Genomic DNA, 20,518 nt, shown 5'->3' with positions numbered 1-20,518 from the left:
TGTAAAAATATAACTAAATCTTTTTAATTCAAAGCTAGTGATAACTTATACATGAAGTCTGAAAAAGTTAACTTGCATATTATCTTTATGATAACAATTGGCTTTCTAAGAATAGTACAGTACTACTAGACTGTGCAGAGGACTATGTGACTCTGTTCATCCATTATAGGAAGTCTTCTCTAATTCTACCAGCAAAATATTTATCTCCTCTCTGCTTTCGTATTTTATTTTTATTTCCTCTAAAAGTGGTGTTTTGTCTTGTCTTTTTATAAAAGAGCATCCCTAGTTACTAAGCAAAAGGAAAGTAGTAATTTGCTCACTTTAAGAGACAGGAAAGATTATAATCTGTTTTAACTTGCTGAAATGTTTTTCGATGCTTAAGGGGGAAAGAAATCTCAATTAGCAAAGGTAGCCATAATGTGGAATACTGTATGTCACCACAATAATGGATCAGTAATGGATTTTTTTTAGTACCCTTTTAAGGACAGCTTAGTAACTAATATTATACCTTTTTGTTTCTATTCCTGTTTTTGGTGAAAACCAATATAAAGAGGAAAATCGTATTGGTGAAATCATTAAATAAATTGAAATTAATCCTAGAATTTAAGTAGACAGGAAAAAATTACGGTAGTTTTCTGATTAAACATGTTAAATCCTATTTTAACAAGTTTATTTTCTGTCATACCTTCTTAAGGTTGTTTCTTTTATTATCCAACATTTTAGCTAGCTGACTTCAGCACTTCCTAAATCTACAGACATCCTAATTTTGAGCCATTATATAATGAAAACATTGGATGTAATTTCCTTAGGTCTACAGTTCTTAGTTGCCCTTCTTACTGCAGATCTTAACACTGTAGCTCATGATTATAATTTGCATAAATGAAATTCATATTTATGAGTACAGATCTTGAAGCAACTGACAGGTGCAAGGTTATCTACCATGCCAATTTATTGTTTGTCATGTCATTTAAAAGAGAACTGCTCTCCATATTTTAAAGAAGAATACCTGCTGTGGTTGAATTAGAATCAAATTCTGAACGTAGATAAAAATCTCATCTTGTAGCTTTCCGTTTTTATGTGTTTCTATGTAATGTGGAAATTTTGCTAGTGGGAATTGGTTTGAAGAAGTATTTAACTGAGTTTATACTGTCCACTAATGGACTCTGAGTATCCATCTCTTTCATTTTTCTGGCTCTTTTATTTCAGGGCATGCACGAACTGTTAGCACCTATAGTCTTTGTCCTTCACTGTGACCACCAAGCTTTTCTACATGCCAGTGAGTCTGCACAGCCCAGGCAAGTTTTTTTTTTAATATGAGCTCCATTTGTTTTTTAGCCCCCACGGTAACCTTTGTTTTTGAAACCTCAAAATCTTCTAAATGGAAGGTACTTACAAGCTGTACAAGTTGTAAACATTTGATTGTGTTTCATGTGGTTAATTGTTAATTCTACTTAATTGTTGTTAGGCCAGTTTAGCTATGGGGCAAATTTAGAATCATAAATGTCTTTGGAATTCTTGATTCTGTATCAAAGGAAGACATGTAAGTAATGGATCAAGAATGGAAAATTTTTGTTGTAATCACAAAAGTGCTAATGATTGATATTATCCATATATATCATGCTCAATGATCCATTTTTTACTCCAAGTTGAATAAGACTTTATATATGAGATTATCTCTCCTCATCAGGTTTGACTCAGCTTAATTCATAAGGAGCCACAAAGAACCTCAGTCTGTAAATAAACAAAATTGCTTCTCAAATTTTTTAGATATATTCATTTATTCTTTCCTGCAAATAACTTTTGTAATTGGATTCAACTTAGGCTAATTGTTAGAATTCATTTTTCTAACTTAAGATACCCTAACTTTGGGGCCTTCAGAAAATCATTTTGGAAATGGAGGGCTCTGGGACTGTCAGGTTGTGTCCAGGAGTATTCATCAGGCCAGCGCATCTATATGCAGTAAACAGAAAACTTGCAGATAACATTTCACATATCTGATTATAAGATCTTTATTAATCAAATATAGCCATCCACTTTGCTGAGCATATATTCAGGCCTTTGTTAAATTAACTTTTGTCTATTAGTTTATAGATTAGTATTTTCAAGTTTCCTTGAAGCTTTGCTAATTTTACTGAGTTTTTTTTTTAATCTTGACAATAGTATAACCATATATAACTTGCTTTCACTTCAGTTATTCTAAAATTTAAACATGAAGTTAGTATTAGGATCCTGTTGTAATGCCTTTTTTTTTTTTAAATTTTATGTTTTGAGACAGAGTCTTGCTCTATGCAGCAGTGCTATCTCGGCTCACTGCAACCTCTGCCTTACGGGTTCAAGTGATTCTCCTGCCTCAGACTCCCGAGTAGCTGAGACTACAGGCGGGCACCACCTCGCCCAGCTAATTTTTGTATTTTTAGTAGAGATGGGGTTTCACCATGTTGGCCAGGATGGTCTTGATCTCTTGACCTCGTGATCTACCCACCTCAGCCTCCCAAAGTGTTGGGATTACAGGTGTGAGCCACCATGCTCGGCCTGCCATTTTTTTTTTAACATGTGAGTGTATTCTTCAGACAGCAGCTCTTTAAAAAATGTGCATGTAGAATATAATTTACAAAAAAATATAGGTGATTGAAAATAGCTTTTAAATGTGTTGGACCTGCTTCTTCAGCTGATTCAATCTGTTAAAAAGTAAAATAAATGCTTAAGAGGTGTTGTCACTGATAAGTTGACTGATAAAATGAAAATAAATCCAGTTAAAGAAAATAAATCAATGTTTTGATATTGCATATTTGACCAGTAACTACCTTTTTGTTCTTTTGGACAACAAGTGATAGATTGTGGATTAATTGATTATTCTAGATGAATCATAGTCAAGGAATATATTGTCAAATTCTGTATTTATTTGGAATAATTAGATAGTTCATGTCGCATAGAGGCATAGACAAGGCAGCTAATTTGTTTTTGATCTTTATAGAAAGAAAGCATATCATTTGTTAATGGCATTGCTCTTTTCATTAAAAAAGACTAATTTTTTTCGTTTGCATATTATATGAAAGTTGTCTTATATAGAATAAGGCAAACTCTGCCTCTTTAATTATTCAAAAATTACACATTTTGATTGCTTGTATTGCTTTTTTAAGTGAGGAAATGAAAACTGTCTTGAACCCTGAGTATCTGGAACATGATGCCTAGTAAGTACAAAAACTTTCTTTGTTTTATTTTTTTATACCATCATTATTTTAATGAAAGTTACATAGCATTGTGTTATTTTATTTTTAGTGCAGTGTTCTCACAACTTATGGAAACTGCTGAACCTTGGTTTTCAACTTTTGAGCATGATGGTCAGAAGGTAAATCTTATAGTACAGATCTTTTCAGTATATGCTATGGAGCAAATGCTTTCAATAAATAACAACATGTAACCAAAGAATAGTATATAGCCTTTATTATTGCTGTAACCAAAATGAAATTACCTATGGAATAAGATTGAGCCTGGGGATCTAAGTATATTTCTAATCATATTGGCAGATACACAAAGGCAATTGTAAAAATTTCATATAAATACATTTTATATGTGTGTATATTAATCAAGCAGCATAAGTGCTTCGTTACAAAATTATTATATTTCTCTTGCTACCCTAGTTAGTTGGTATACACATTATTACTGAAGTGCATAGGTAGAATCTGTGTCAAATAGGTTGTTTTGCTTTTACCAGTGCGTTGCTATTGAATTCATACATTTAGCATCAATATCCCTTACTCTTACTCTTCCTCTTATTCATATTTTTAACTATATTTTAAATTTTTATATAATTCACATAGCATAACTTGTACCTATTAAACTTTTAATGGTTTTTAGTATATTTATAGGGTTAGCAGGCAAACATCCCTGCTATCTAATTCCAAAACATTTTTTTAATCACCCAAAAAGAAAACTGCATGTCCATTAACAGTCACTCTCCATTTCCCTGTTCCTACAGGCCCTGGCATCACTAATATACTTTCTGTCTCTATGGACTTGCTGATTCTGGATATTTCATATAAGTGGAATCATATAATACACTGCCATTTGTGACTGACTCCTTTCACTTAGCATAGTGTTTTCAGTGTTCATATTGTGGCATGTACCAGTATTTCTTTTTATGCCTGAAAAATATTGCATTATATAGATATACCACATTTTGTTTATCCATACATCAGTCGATGGACATTTGGGTTATTTTCACTTTTGGCTATTGTGAATAACTTTGAGCATTTATATACAAGCTTTGTATGAACATGTGTTCATTTCTCTTGTTATATACCTAGAAGTGGAATTGCTGAGTTAACTATATTTTCAAACTAACCTTCATGCTATCTTAGTGATCATTATGGTTGTCTCATTATATTACACAATATTGGAAAAATCACAAATTCTTCTGGCAATGGATACTGTTAAAGAATTTGGTATATTGTTTCCAGTATGGCTTATTTCCTTTATATTGGTATAATTAATTGCTTTCTGGTTAGAAACCATTATTACTCAGTCACTTCATTCCATCTCTTAAAAAATGAAATAGTTAATCGATGTTTTTCATGCCTTTGGCCAGCTCAGAGGTTGGCATCCTACTGCCTGTAGGTCAAATTTGGCCTACCATCTGTTTTTATACATCTTATGAGTTAAGAGTGGTTTTTAACATTTTTAAATGGTTAGAAAACTGTCAAAAGAAGAATAGTATTTTGTAACATGTGAAAAGAATATGAAATTTAAGTTTCCATGCCCTTAAATAAAATGTTTTGGAACACAGTCATTCCTATTTGTTTACTTATTGTCTGTGGCTGCATGATCATTACAGTGGCAGAGTTGCAGCACAGACTGTATGACTCGTAAAGCCTAAAATATTTACTCTCTGGCTGTTTACAGGGAAGGTTTGCTGACCCCTACACTAGGTGATAAAGTATTTCTTCATATACCAATATGTTATATTCTAAAAGGGTTGTAGAAGGTAAAAGCTACTGTAAGCGTATTTGGCAAACTACTTTATATTTTTGGAATAATAACCTTTTGTTCTTGGCAAGTTATGTGATGAAGTCATAGACTTATATGAACATCAACATTTTGAGCAGAGTATTTGAACACATTTAAACACTGATCATTTCTTAATAGTGGTCATTTTGTATTTTATAACTGAGTCACGCTAGGTGAGAAACTCAGTGACTAAACTGTGAGGGTTATCAGTTCTTGATTTTACCTAATTGTATTGATATTACTGAGTCAGCTTTATAAAAGTGGCTTAGACAACACAAAGAAAGACATTCATTTTTATCAAGGAACATAATAGATGTGACTTTTGAACATTCGTCTTAATTACCCTTATATATGAATGAATAATATATTCCTAAAAAGTATTTCTAGTGAATCCCTTTTTCATCTTCCTATTTTAATTATTTCATGGTGCTCTCACCTTTTTTTAAGAATGAGTAGTAGGCAGATAATAAGACTTCTTGTTTAAACTGTCATTGATAAAGAATGACATCCATATATTTATTAATTTCATATTTAAATAATACATGTTCAATTTTTCTGTTTTTAGGGGAAAGAAACACTGATGACTCCCATTCCCTTTGCTAGACCACAAGATTTAGGGCCAACAATTGCTATTGTTACTAAAGTCAACCAGATCCAGGATCATCTACTGAAGAAGCATGATATTGAGCTTTACATGCACTTGAACAGACTAGAAATTGCACCACAGATATATGGGTTGTAAGTATTAAAGTTCTTTGTTTGTTTGTTTGTTTTTTGAGACAGAGTCTCCATCTTTCACCCATGCTAGAGTGCAGTGGCATGATCTTGGCTTACTGCAAACTCTGCCCCCTGGGCTCAAGCGATCCTCCCATCTCAGCTTCCCAAGTAGCTGGTACCACAGACGCGTGCCACCAAGCCCAGCTAAGTTTTTGTAGTTTTGGTAGACAGGGTTTCACCATGTTGGCCAGGCTCCCCTTGAATTCCTGAGCTTGCCTCTGCTTCCCAAAGTGCTGGGATTACAGATATGAGCCATTGCACCCAGCCTAAAGTTTCAATTTCAACTACATCTAATTATATAGTAGTTTCTAATGATATGTAAATTTCTATGTGCTCGGATCCTTAAAAATAACAACTGTTCCTTCTCCATTTTATTTCACATCTCTTTTGTGTGTCTATGTGCATGCTCAGTGCTTATCACTTTCACCTGTGTATGGTATCTCATCTAATACTCTTTGTAATACCAACCCTGTAAATTGGGTATTATTCCTTTATTAGAGATGAAGAAGTTAAGGCTCAGGTTTAGTTTACACATATTTCACAGTGAAATCATAACTCAGAGCCATAATTATTTAGGATTGGCTACATAATTTGCAGAGCTCAGTGCAAAAGAAAGATGCAAGGCCCCTTTGAAAAAATTAGTAAGAATTTCAAGCTGGTAACAGCAGATCATTGAACCAAGCATTCCAAGAAGTTGTATGAGTCGTACATGCATGGAGCCAGCCCCAAATCCTAACAATACAATAAAATATTCATGTTCTTTCCATTATATCATATGATCATCTTTTGTTCTACCCTCAGACGTAGATTCCTGTAAGTAAGATAGATGCCTCTCAGAGACCATAATGACCATAATGTATTAATTTTCTTCAGCCACATAACTTCTGTAACATGTCATAGCAGAACAGGGAGATGCTCACTCCTTAGGGGTGGGTGTGCATGTGTGTGTGTGTGTGTGTGTGTGTGTATTTTTTCAGTGGCTTATAAGGTGTGTATGCAAATTAAAAAATAGTGATTTTAGTAAATGTGAATTATCTATGCACTGCTACAGACAAAAGGGTTCTCTATATTGAAATAGTAGAACATTTATATGTAGTGCTAGGCAGTTTCTTGGTAGATACTTTATGTAAAGCTTGACTCTCCATTAGGTAGAACATGCAAAATTGAGGCAATTTTTTTATTGAGGTGTACTTAGTAGATGCTCAATAAATGTGAATTCATTATTTCAATTGCAGAGAATCTCAAACAAGTCACCCAGAGCAGGGTCTGTTTATTTAACCCAGAAAAGAGAATAGTGTTTTGTTTATATTCTCATTTTATACAGAGTCTTCCATGAATAATAACTCTCAGCTGTTTTTCTTCTCTGGAAGCCCTGAACTGTGACTGAAGAAGTCTGCTTTTCTGTTTTAACGCTGCATGTTTTCCTTTTTCTTACTTTAGCTTAACCTCATCATTGAGAGCAGCTTCATTATTTCCACTGGAAATGAGAAAATTGTGTGTGACATGTGGTATTGGGCAGCAATGCAGGTTATTAATGAATTGCTATGTACATTTGAAAGTCTAACTAATACATTTATGATTATAGACATAAAAATTTATTTGAAAGAGCTAGTAACAAGGTCAGGAGTTAAATTTTTATATTCCTCTCCACTGTGCAAATAATTGGTATATCCAAATACAAAAGCACATTTTACACCCTCAAAAATTGCTTGCTAAGATCCAGAAATTGGTTTTAAATATTGGGGAAAGAAGTTGATGTTGAACATGTTTATCATTTCTTTGAAATGCTTTATAATTTTTTGCCTTCTTGCCCAAACCGGTGCTTGATGTTGCAGTGGTGATGGCGTGGGCTTGGGTGCAATAATTTATAACCAGAGTGTTTCTGTTTCCTTTTCAGATGTTAGTTTCCTTCAGTTAGTTTCAGGGGTTAGTTTCATCTTTATCAGAATAATTTATAGAATTTCTTTGGCATTTTGACCAGTACCTTCCCATTAAAATTCCATGATCCATGACATAATTATTCTTAATCTCTCCAACATTATCAGCAATACTGAAAATACCAGGTCTTGCAATAATCATAGCTACCTCATTTAGCTCATTATATTTTAATAGAATCTCATCTGTATTATTTTTTAAAATATGTATTTTTTAATCTTTGAAGAATAGATTACTCATCTCAACTGGCCTCTATTACATTTTATAATGCAAGGATTTTATTTACCTATTTCACATATTAATTTGGTTTTGTTATTACTATTTATGGAGCACATGAAAGGCCAGAGTGCTTGAATTTTCTTATATCCCTAAGCTGTACTACCATCTGTACTACCCATCTATGTATTTTCTATTAATGACTATTAGAAACTTTGGGTCAAAAAACAGTGTAAGCCAGGCATGGTGGCACATGCCTGTAATCCCACCCTGCTCGGGAGTCTGAGGCAGGAGGATCGCTTGACCCAGGAGTTCGAGTCCATCCTGGGCAACATAGCAAGACCCCCATCTCTAATAATAACGGTAGATAGAAGCATAGGCTCTGAAATGAAACAGCCTTTGTTTTTTCATCTGTGAAATGGAAATTAAAAATAATGGTACCTACTTCATAGGGTGCCTGTGAGAATTAAATCATAATATACAAAAAAAAGTAGTACTCAGTATGTAGTATACATTTAATGTATGTTTTGACATGCCTTTATTATCATTATTTGTCATTACCATTACTTAATTAGAATGTCATGGCTATGTGAATATGATGTCCTGTGTGAATCATTAGTTAGCCCTTCCAACTCTGTCTTTGACTTTTTTTTTCTTTTCACTAGAGCCTATGTGCTTCTCTTACCTGCAAACTTATAATAGCCGTGTTTTAGACCACTGCTTTCTAAAGTGATGCTATAGAAGTTGGGAGTAAACTTTTAGAAATGATCATATAGTTTGGCAGAATAATTTTATGTTCTAGAATTTAATATTATAGTTTTGTATCTCATGGAAATGAATTAAAATATCTTATTCTGTATCACACAAATATCTTAATCTAAGTAATTGCTGTGCTACTGTTTATTCCTTTTAGAAGAAAGTTGTTAATTTAGTTTTACATTCAGAATTAATACTTGAAAATATAGACAGTGGTTTGAGTAAATATCACCAAGGGGCAGATGTAAAATAATCTCTTTTTAGTTAATGAAACTGCTTTCTCAGATTACATAATAATTCATAATGGTGTCATCTAAAGTGTGCTTTTGCATGCCAGATATTTTATAGAATTTTAATTTTCAAACAAAACAAATTTTTTTGTAAAGTAAAATGTTTCAAGAAAATTATAAATTATAGTAAAAATGAAAAATTTAAAAAGAAAATAAAAAATAAAAGTAAAATATTAGAAATTATAATAAAAATGTCAATAATGAATGAGCCAATGGCAAAATGTTATCATTACCAACAGCTTGTATGGAAAGAGGAGTAAATCATAAATATATATTTACATGGGGGAAAAGTGTTAGCAAGATTAAATTAAGCCCCATGTAGAGTCCAATTTCTACTTTTAGTCAAAATTTTTAACAGTTGCATGGAACATCAAATTACTTAAATCTAGTCTGTATTATGGTTATATTTGTCACTAAATTTTGCAATTATTTTTAAAACCAGTTTTTCCAAGAGAATATATGTTAATATCTCCTGAGGTGGGAGATGTGCCCTAAGTATGTACACTTGCTGCATTTTGCTAATAGATGTACTTAACAAAATTAGAATTAACAAATAGTACAAAACTATTACTTGCACTAAAATTTGATAATCTCATTCTAAATTACATGATCCTAGTTTTATATAAATTGATGACATTTATCTTGACATGTGAATAAGTCCACATGAAATCTTGAATATTATATAACAGTTTGCTTATTTAATGCTGTTACTTATATATTTAACTGTATTATCTTCTGGATGATTAAAAATTTTTTGTTAGCAAGTTTTAAATCAATTTACTACCTGTATTTTAGGTTAAATAAAATTAAATCCGCAATTAAATGTTCAACATAAGTGATTTTATAAAATAATATATCCTAAAGGTAATTTATATTATGTTTTTCATTAATTTTATGAAAGTTCCTTCTGTTGCACATAGAATGAAGTTTCTCTTACTATAATTCGAATAAATAATTAACATCTTTTTTCTTTTTTTTTTGAGAGGGTGTCTTGCTCTGTTGCCTAGGCTGGTGTGCAGTGGTGCAATCTTGGCTCACTGCAGCTTCTGCCTCCCGGGTTCAAGCAATTATCCTGCCTCAGCCTCCTGAGTAGCTAGGATTATAGACGCCCACCACCACACCTGGCTAATTTTTGTATTTTCAGTAGAGATGGGGTTTCACCACATTGGATAGGCAGGTCTCAAACTCCTGACCTTGAGTGATCTGCCCGCCCGGGCTTCCCAAAGTGCTGGGGTTACACGTGTGAGCCACTGCGCCCAGCCTAATTAACATATTGAGTTGTCTTTTGTTTGCCAATTATTGATTGGTATTGCACTTAAAAAAATTAGGTTCTATAAACCTGTCAATACATACTGACCAATTTGCAAAGTAAAATATTGACTGCATCATTTCCAGCTTTCCAAGGTAATTTTTTAAGAGTCATTTTTGTGGTATTTTTTAGTATAAGCATAAGAATGTCCTGAGATTTCATCACTTGGGGATTATTTTTGTGCAAAAGCATCTAAAATATTTGCGTTACAATTCTATCACTGATCACACATCATGTTGTGAGTTCAAAAAACTCTAACTTAGAGCAGATTTATATAGAGATTCAATGCTACTACAGCATTCTTTTATTATAAAGAGACTAAAATTTGAAGTTTAACAGTTTTAGTAGGCCAGAATAACTGTTTTATTATCACTTTTAAATGTATTGAATCTGTAAACTTTTTACTGTATTTTATACTTTGATATCAATAGAGTACATAATAGGCATCTGTGGGATATGCAATTAATGTCACTTTTGAGGAAAGACCCTCATAACACGCTTGGGCTTCGTCACTGTTAAATTATGAGCTCTTTACAACACTCATGGGATAAATTCCATATCCCCCAAATGCTTATTATATATCTTCCATGTCTGTTTTCTATTATCTGGATTAGCAGTTGTTTTACCGTGCAGTTTATTGTAATTTAATTGGGGAGATTCTTGGTTATTGATTACTAATCTGCCAAATTATTGATATAATTTTAAAATATGTCATAGTATATTGTTTCTAACATATCATAGTATAATTATGTTGAATGCCAAGTTTTTTTTTAACCTATATTTGAAGTATAAACATATTGGTAAAAAAGTAACTCTCAGTCATCAGAAGTCAGTGTAATTATCCACCTAAAAGATTATATCTCTCAACAGTTTAAGAACTTCCTAAACACAGTTAACAATTGAGATATTCCTTTCTTTTCAATGAGCTTTATATTATACATTAAACATAATACATGAAATATGAAGGATTAGAAAGTGACGATCCAATGATAGCTTGCTTTCATACACTACTGAATGTTTTCCCAGAATTATTATTTTTCAGAAAGTAGGAGTTTTTCCCCTTATACATGAAGAATGATCACTGATTAAGAATTATGGGGAAGAATAATTAAATATTTGAAATAATGACTCATAATTTATTATATTTATTATTTCCTGAGGGCTAGGCATTGTGCTAAAGGCTTTATCCTTTTTTTTGTTTGTTTTTTGTTTTTTTGTTTTTTTTTGTTTGTTTGTTTGAGAGGGGGTCTCGCTCTGTCACTCAGGCTGGAGCGCAGCGGTGTGATCTCAGCTCACTGCAGCCTCCAACCTCCCAGGCTCAAGGGATCCTCCCACCTTAGCCTTCCAAGTAGCTGGGACCACAGGCACCTGTCACCATGCCCAGCTAATTTTTTGTATTTTTGGTAAAGACAAGGTTTCACTATGTTGCCCAGGTTGATCTCAAACTCATAAGCTCAGGTGATCTGCCTGCCTTGGCCTCCCAAAGTGCTGAGATTACAGGTGTGAGCCAGCACACCTGGCCAAAAGGCTTTATCTTATTTAACCTAATAACACATAGAAATAGGTACTGTTATTATCCCCATTTTGTTGATGAGGAAATGAAGGATTATAAAGCCTTATTTAGATTAAATAGTTACCAAGAAGCTGAGCCAGGCTTTGAACTCTTGAGCTAATATTCACAGTTTAATTTGACTAGGACTATAAGTGTGGTAGAAAGCTGAGGCATCTGAAGGTTTTATGTGTCACATTGGACCATGAGCCAAATTCAGTTTCACCAGATATCAAAGACCCAGGCTAGGTACAAGGCCCAGAATCAGGAGTCTTGTTAGTACTGATTAGAAACCAGCCTTAAAAGGAAGGAATAGAAAATCAAGGCCCCTGGAGAGCCTAAGGTCCACAGCCATGCCCCAAATCAGGAATAAATGAGCTCCAGATCTTTCACACAGGATGTGCCCCCAGCAAATGTATAGCTAAAACAATAAGCCATAGCCTGAAGGCTTAAATTTCCTTGTCGGAGTCCAATTCTGGCCTTATTTAAGTCAGACTACTGGATAAAAAATTAAGGAAGCTTGGGGATGGGGATCTGCTACTTTAATCTTAAACTTGACCTACAAAGGGTTAATTGATGAAGTGGGAGAAACAACCTTTACTGACAAAGTGACCATGTATTTTAGCATAGTCAAAGGCCAAGAAGGAAAAGTGCTGAGTTACGCATGCACTAGCTTAGGAAGGGTACCATCCACATGCCTTTCTAGATAAAAATATGCTTTTCCCACTGAGAGGCGAACAAAAATCAATAATTCAAGCAAGAGGAAAACAAGTGTAAGAGGACTACTGGAAAGCAATGTAACCAGTAAGATATGATTAAGTCTAAATAACTGAAAGCAATTGTCAAAAATAATCATGCCAATAGCAGTGAAAATAATTTAAATCATTATTTGTATCTTAAGTCTACTTAATTCTAGTGAATAATTTAAAGAGGGAAGGAAGTATGGAAGTTTACATAATTCATCAGTACACATGAAATAAATATATTATTGATGTTTCTAATCACTAAGTAAATGTTTTAAAAAATGCTCATAAAAGATGTTTATGCAATAGCATTGTGACGATTAAATGAAAAAAATCATATAGAGTACAATACCTGGCACGTTGTAAGCACTCAATCAGTGTTCATTGTTACTAATTTTTATGTGCTCAGTGCAAAATTCCTGGCTATTAATAAGACTCATAATAAGAAGCAGCAATGAGAAGAATAACAAAAGAAAGTAACAAGATTATTTACAAAGGAAGCATAATAGATGATGACAAAGCTATCAAACGTTAGTTATGGTACTATACATAAATGCTTTAAACTTACCTAGTAAAAGGCAAAAATTATTGACTGGCTTTATAGACAATATCCAACTATATGCTTCTTAGAAGAGGCAGCTAAAATAAATGATGTAGCTTGGTAAAAGGATTACAGGGACAGCAACTGTAATATCAAGATAATATACTTCAAAGAAAAGCATTGAAAGAAACAGAGAATAGCCTTGTATAGTCATAAAACATTCAGTTTTTCATAGACATACAATAGCCTTGAATTTTGGCATGTAAAATCTGTGACAGCAAGGAGTTTGTCTGTCTTATTCATTAATATATCTCAAATGCCTCCCTAAACTGAACCTGGCATGTGGTAAACACTCAGCAAATAATTTTTGAGTACATGAGAAGATGGATGAATGGGAAGGAAAGAAAAACAAAAGAAGGAAAGATCACAAACCAGTAATACAAGGATCTGATTATTCAAAATATGATATGGTGAAAATTTTGTTGCTATTTTAAGGAACATCAAGTAATAAGAATGAAACAATTACAACTCTAAATAATTAGTAGAAAACATACATGAATAGCCTATCTTCCAATGACGATAGATTTTGTAAGAATATCAGTGAAGACATTCTAGATGGTAAGCTGGAAATTTGACTACTTCAAAATTTCAGTCCGGGGAGGGGGTGGTGGTGCTGCCTGATTCTTGTGTTGTTCTTTGCTCGATTAAACTCTGTTAAATTAAAAAAAAAAATTAGTCCAATAAAATTCAATGTAAATTTTTCCTTATGATTTTTAAATTGGTTTAAAAAATTTAACATACATAAAGAAATAATATGAAGAATAAAATACTAATTTTTATTTTTTATATATAGAGTCCTAAATTTGGTAAGAAATCACTAATCCATTAAGTAGAACAGTAAAATGAAACAACAAATCATAAGGAAAAATTAACAATGGCCAGTACATATAGTGAAAACTTTCAGCTATTCAAACATTTAAAGAAACAGAAATTAGGTGGCTCATGCTTATAATCGCAGCGCTTTGAGAGGTCGTGGCGGGAAGATATCTTGAGGCCAGGAGTTTGAGATCAGGCTGGGGGCAAGGTAGTGAGACCCTTGTCTCTACCCAAAAAATAAAAATAAAAAAAGAAAGAAAAAGGAAAGAAAAAAAAGAAAAAATTAGCCAGGTATGGTGGTGCACACCTGTAGTCCCAGAGACCTGGGAGTAGACCCTGTCTCTAAAAAATAAAAAAATAAAAAAAAAGGAAAGAAATATACAAATTAAGTAGCATAATATAATTTTCATTTAGATTGATAAAGATTAGAGAAAATTTTGCTCAATGTTGATATAATCATTTAGGAGGCAATAGGGAGGGTAAGTCAGAAATCTGACCAATTGGATTATTTGACTCATAATTTTACTTTTAAGCATATAAACATACTAAGTGCATCAGTAGAATAAAAGTCCATGTATAGATATGTTTATCACAGTGTTTTTTATGACATGAAATGAGAAATAATACATTTCCAATAATAAGGTAAATAAAAATAGGGGAAATGTTATGCCAAGAACATGGAAAAAGAAAAGTAAAATAAAAGTAGAAGGCAGGAAATAATAAATATGAGTTAAAACTAATATAATTGAAAACAATAACAGAAAATAAATGAAATGAGTTGTTTCTTTGAAAAGGTCAATTAAATTGACAGACACTAGCAAGACTAACAAGAAAAGGGAGAAAGGAAATGAATATGGCTATAAAAGGGCATGGAAAGGATCTTTATGGTAATGGAACATATCATGGTAGTGACATTGGACTGTAGTTTTGCAGGATGTTACCATTGGGGAAAACTGCTGGGTACTGAGGAGCTCTTTGTATTATTTCTTACAACTGTATGTGAAGGTACAATTATCTCAAAATAAATAGTTTAATTAAAATAATGTCAGAGCCTTGCGCAGTGGCTCATGCCTGTAATTCCAGCACTTTGGCAGGCCGAGGCGGGCAGATCACTTGAGGCCAAGAGTTCAAGACAAGTCTGGCCAACATGCTGAAACCCCATCTCTACTAAACATACAAAACTTAGTCATGTGAGGTGGCACATGCCTGTAATCTCAACTACTTGGGAGGCTGAGGCACGAGAACCTCTTAAACCCAGGAGGTGGAGGTTGAAGTGTGCCAAGATGGTGCCACTGTACTCCAGCCTGGACGACAGAGTGAGACTCAAAAAAAAAAAAGTCAGTCTACGTGTCTTACATCTTTTGCCCTTTTTGAATAAATTGGGGTTATGTTCTTAGTATTAAGTTTTGACAGTTCTTTATTCTGGATACAAGTCCATTGTCACATTTGAGATTTGCATTTGCAAATTGTCCCCCAATCTGAAACTTGTCATTTCATTTCTCATGTCTTTCATAGAGCAAACACTTAATTTTGTTGAAACCTAATTTATCAACTTTTTCTTTTATGGAGATTGTTTTTTGTGTCACATATAAGAACTCTGCCCAATCCAAGTCATACACATTATGTTTTGTGTTTCATAGCTTTATATATTATATTTAGGTCTATGATTTATTTTGGCTTAATTTTTATGTAAGGTAAAAGGTATTGGTCAACTTTTTTTCTTTTTTAAATATGAATATCCAATTATTTCAGAACCATTTGTGGAAAGACTACCCTTTCTCCATTGAATTGCCTTTACACTTTTGTTGAAGATCAGTTAGTTTTGTCTGGCTACAAGTTTATCAATAAAATTGATCTTTTCAAAGAACCAGTTTTAGGTTTGATTAATTTTATCTCCCTTTCTCTTTTTCTTTCTTTCTGTTTTTAGTGTCATTAGTTGCAGCTCTTATCCTTTTACTTACGTTGGGTTTATTTTCCTCTTCTCTTTCAAGTTGTTGAAGGTAGGAGGTCAGATTATTGACTTCAGACCTTTCTTCTTTTTAAGTATGTTTTTATTGCTATAAGTTACTTCCTAAGCACTGGTTTAGTTGTATTCCTAAAATTTGGGTTGCTATATTTTTATTTTTCTTCAGCTCAAGATATTTTAAATTTTTCTTTAAGGCTTCCTTTTTGTACCATGGGTTATTTGTATTGCTTAATTTCCAAATATTGGGGAATTATTCTGATATCTTTTAAAAATTTATTAAATTCCATTATGATCTAAAAACATGATTTTGTATGATTTTTAAGCCTGTTTTTAGCCCTAAATATAGTAGAGCTTGGTGAATATTTCTTGTGCACGTGAAATGATTGTTTATTCTACTATTGTTGAATGGAATGTTCTATAAATGTCAGGTCAAATTGGTTGATTATGTCGGTTAGGTCTTCCATATTTTTGCTGTTTTTCTGTCTGCTTGTTCTGTCTCCAGCTATAATTATAAATTTTTAAATTTCTGAATCTAAATCTACTTTAAAATGACCAGACATGTGGGATTAATAATGAAACATCCAGTATTCTTACCCAATGCAAATGGCACAGTTGAAAAAAAAAATTAGGCAACTCAGCTTTTGCTTTCGTGTTTTTGTTTACTGGTACTTTTCACACACAGGAAATAGCGTTCCAGTCACGTAAATAGTTACATAGAGACTTGATTGTGAAACTTTTAAATATAATGGACATATGAGGTTTGAGAAACCAATGATTTCCAATATGGTCTTGATATACTGTAGCTAAAGGACTATTACATATATATTTGGAAATGTAATTTTAAACATAGACCAGGATGTCTCTTTTTGTTCCTTCCAAAAATCCTGGCCACAGTTTGAAATTTCTTTCAATTAGATGGCTTCTTTCACTGGTGTTTTGGAACCTAGTAAATATATGGGACTAATGAAAACAACCAAAAAACAAATGATGTCATATTTATTCAACATATTTGAGTAGTTTTAATACTTCCAAAGTATTTACCTTCTAATGAGAAGTATTTACAATGAGTTTTTAAATACTTCCAAAATATATAACATAGAAGAAATTTTAATCATAATTTTAACTCTGCAACTAAGACTTTATTTTTAAATTTGTATTTATTAGAACAGTTTATTAAAGATTGCTATGCATATTTCTAAATTTTTGTAAATATGTCACTAAATTCATAGTTTTAAAAATGTATATTTCTAAATAAGAATTGAGGCGATTGAAACAAAATATGCTAGATACCTGAGAAATACTGATGCGCTGAAAACTGATAGGCCAAAATAGTTCATGATAGAACATACCTTCACCTCAGCTATATTTGCCATTCTAGGTATATATATATAAAAAGGTAGTAAATATCCTTTCTTTTGGTTGTATATCTTAAACAACACAACCCTTTGCCAATCCCGGTCTTAAAGTCACTAACCAGACTTGATCAACTTCAGGTTATATGAACATTCTCTAAGGAAAGCCTGATAAAACTGTGACTTTACAGTGGTTGTGGTTCTTTGAACATAAGTATACAGGAAAAACGAATATTTAATATTACCCCAAAACTTTATAATTACAAAATACCATCTAACAAGGGTCAGGAAAAATAAAACTTTCCCAGAAATATATTTAGTCAGAGTTGTTTTTAAATCACAGTAAAACAAAGGAATGCCTTCTTTAAACTATGTGGTTTAGTAACAGTGATAATACTTTAAAACTGACATTGCCTTCCAGTCTGTTGGCAGAATACATTTAGATTGGAAGGAAAGTAATTTCTACCCTCCAATCAAAACTATAGGTTCTAAAGCTTGAAGGAGAATTTTTCAGGACTTACTAAGAAATAATAGTTAAATGTGGGTAAAACATCCTAGAATTAAGTTAATCTTTAATATTCAGATTTCTCTCCTTCCTTTCTTATCCTTGGATTTTTTATTTCATGGGTCTCCGTTTTTCCATTCTCCAACTCTTTGAATAACCAAGTAACCTAGAGGCAAATTGAATATCTAGAGCTAATTGCTCTAATAAGCTCTTTTCTATTGCCATATGGTAATTTATGTATGGTATCATATTCCATTATTAAGTATACTTGGTAATTAAGCTAACCTGTATCACTTATACTAGTGATTACATTGTGTGTCTTTGATAGGTTGTGACCAGACTTAAGTTTCTACCCTTATTTTTTGACCTTGAGAGACTGCTTAATATGTGTAAAACCTTTTATGGGAACAAAGAGGGCTTCAAATGTGCCTGTAAAAGCAAGTTTTCTAGATAAGTGTCTCCTGACTAGCTTTTAAGATATTTGAGATCACCAGTATGCATCTTGTATGACAATTCTAAGATATTTTTCTGGCTTTTGTAAAGTTACTTTAAGGACAGAGTTTTACCGGTATAATTTTATCTGACCCATAATACCAAGATGGAATCCTGTCTTCTCACTATTACTTCTTTTCTGACCTAAATATAAGAAAAATGATGGAGCTTGCTTAGTGAAGAGAACCTTTCATAATGTCATAAGATGCTTTGACAAAGGCTGCTGAATCAATTAAGAAAAATTGTCATTTATTACACTCTATTATAAAGGATAAAAGATAAAAATTCTTCAACCAACAAACCCTAAGAAAAGCTTTCTACACTAATTGGAGATACAGATGAAATGCTGGTGGAACGTGTTGCTTTTTGCTTCTTATTTTTGCTTTTGACTACTTTTGGTTCTTTATGTGTTTCTTTATCCCCTCAAATTTCTTATTTTTATAGTTTTAAATAGATTTGTAACAGAATTTAAATGCAGAAAAAGAAATATTATTTGTTATAATAATATAGTAAGTTAGGCATGTATATGTATTTTATTTCTAAAAATTTCTTTTATTAAAATTTGCTTTCTCTAATGCTTTTATTGTCATTTTACACGAATTATTGTTAGATATTTTTCAATGATTTTTTATAGATTTTTTATACCAGTGTACCATCTCCAAAGGTTCTTATTATGCCTTAAATTGTAAATGGTATGTAGGGTTTAAAATATCTCAAGTTTAAAAATACTCGAATTTTTTAATTAAAATTAAAGATTGTACTACATGGAATTTGTTAGAGAAAATATACCTTTTAAAACATTTTAATTTAGAATTTGTAATCATTTTAATAGATCTAAGCTCTAAGAGGCATCAGAAACAATAACAAAATGAGTGGGACTGAGATAAAAAAGAATGAGTTGTAAGCTGAGAGATTGCACCTATGCTCAGTAGATTCAGGTTTTATTAAAGAGAACCTCTGACCTAATTATGTCAATGGGAGGGACCTAAACAATTAAAAATAGTGCTATTAAGGACAGTGGGCCAGGCACAATGGCTCACGCCTGTAATCCCAGCACTTTGGGAGGCCGAGGTGGGAGGATCACCTGAGGTCGGGAGTTCAAGACCAGCCTGACCAACGTGGAGGAACCCTGTCTCCACTAAAAATACAAAAAATTACCCAGGCCTGGTGGCACATGCCTGTAATACCAGCTACTCAGGAGGCTGAGGCAGGAGAATCACTTGAACCCAGGAGGCAGAGGTTGTGGTGAGCCGAGATCATGCCATTGCACTCCAACCTGGGCAACAGGTGAAACTCCTTCTCAAAAACAAAAACAAAAACAAACAAACAAAAAAAAAGTGAACATTGTGGACAGTATCAGAATTTAGCCAAGGCAGTGACACTGGAGAGAACCAGAGATCTAGTTTCTCTAGCTCACCAGTTTCCAAGCATGAAGATGATAAATTTCCCCAACTGGAGTGAGTTGTGGGGGGAGGTACAGAACTACATATATATTTTAATGGATAGAATTTTATCCTGTTGTTGCTTGGTATATATTACAAGTTTAGTTTATTTGAACTACCAGTTTATAATTAATAGGATTTTATTTTCTGTAAAACAAGAAATATGCAGAGAAATGTAATATTTATAAAGTATCTTTTCTATACCTGTTCTTTCAGTTGCTGAACTCTTCATTCATTGCAACCAAAATCTGATCTTGTCTCCTATTCAATGGAACGCAACAGAAAAGCTAAAGTCAGATCAAGAGTACTGAGTTTATAGGGTTTCCATGTGGAGTTCTTATTTGCAAAGCACTTAAAACAGTGCCTGTTGCATAGGAAATATTTCTTACATATTTATTAAGTACGTCTAAGTAATAATATGATAAATAATGTCACTTTCTCAAACTGAAAATTGAGAAGAGATTTTTTTTTGTAGTGATGTCAGTCCCCATATAACAAATGCCTCTTGCTCTGGCTTCAGCCATCTATAAGTAACTCCCTTTTCTCTACGTCGATCACCTCTAGGCAGGAAGGCCTCTGCCGGTTGGTATTTATGACAACAGTGCCAAATCCTATCATTATTTTTTTCATTTTTGACTTTTCACTCCCACTCTTTTGACTTTTCACTCCCACTCTTTTGTGGAAAATGCAGTTTTAAAACAGTAGTGAAGGTGATTAGTTATCTAATTATCCTTTTCAGTGGATTGTATTGCTGATGGCAGA

General features: G+C 32.8%; 1 protein-coding gene across 65 annotated transcripts in view; it reads left to right on the top strand.

Moving 5' to 3' along the window:
* The window catches only part of TBC1D5 (TBC1 domain family member 5), a 585,470-nt gene that overhangs the window by 364,812 nt on the left and 200,140 nt on the right, over nucleotides 1-20,518 (top strand). For all 65 annotated transcript variants that reach the window (XM_047449296.1, XM_011534283.4, XM_047449314.1 and 62 more), the window contains 4 exons: nucleotides 1,207-1,295; nucleotides 3,141-3,191; nucleotides 3,280-3,349; nucleotides 5,573-5,745. In XM_047449296.1, the coding sequence (XP_047305252.1) occupies nucleotides 1,207-1,295; nucleotides 3,141-3,191; nucleotides 3,280-3,349; nucleotides 5,573-5,745 (383 nt within the window). The remainder of the gene's footprint in view (nucleotides 1-1,206; nucleotides 1,296-3,140; nucleotides 3,192-3,279; nucleotides 3,350-5,572; nucleotides 5,746-20,518) is intronic.

This window comes from Homo sapiens, chromosome 3 (assembly GCF_000001405.40).
Source record: "Homo sapiens chromosome 3, GRCh38.p14 Primary Assembly".
Classification (NCBI taxonomy): Eukaryota; Metazoa; Chordata; class Mammalia; order Primates; family Hominidae; genus Homo; species Homo sapiens.
The sequence above is the reverse complement of the archived record's forward strand: the minus strand, read 5'-3'. Positions and strand labels throughout refer to the sequence as shown.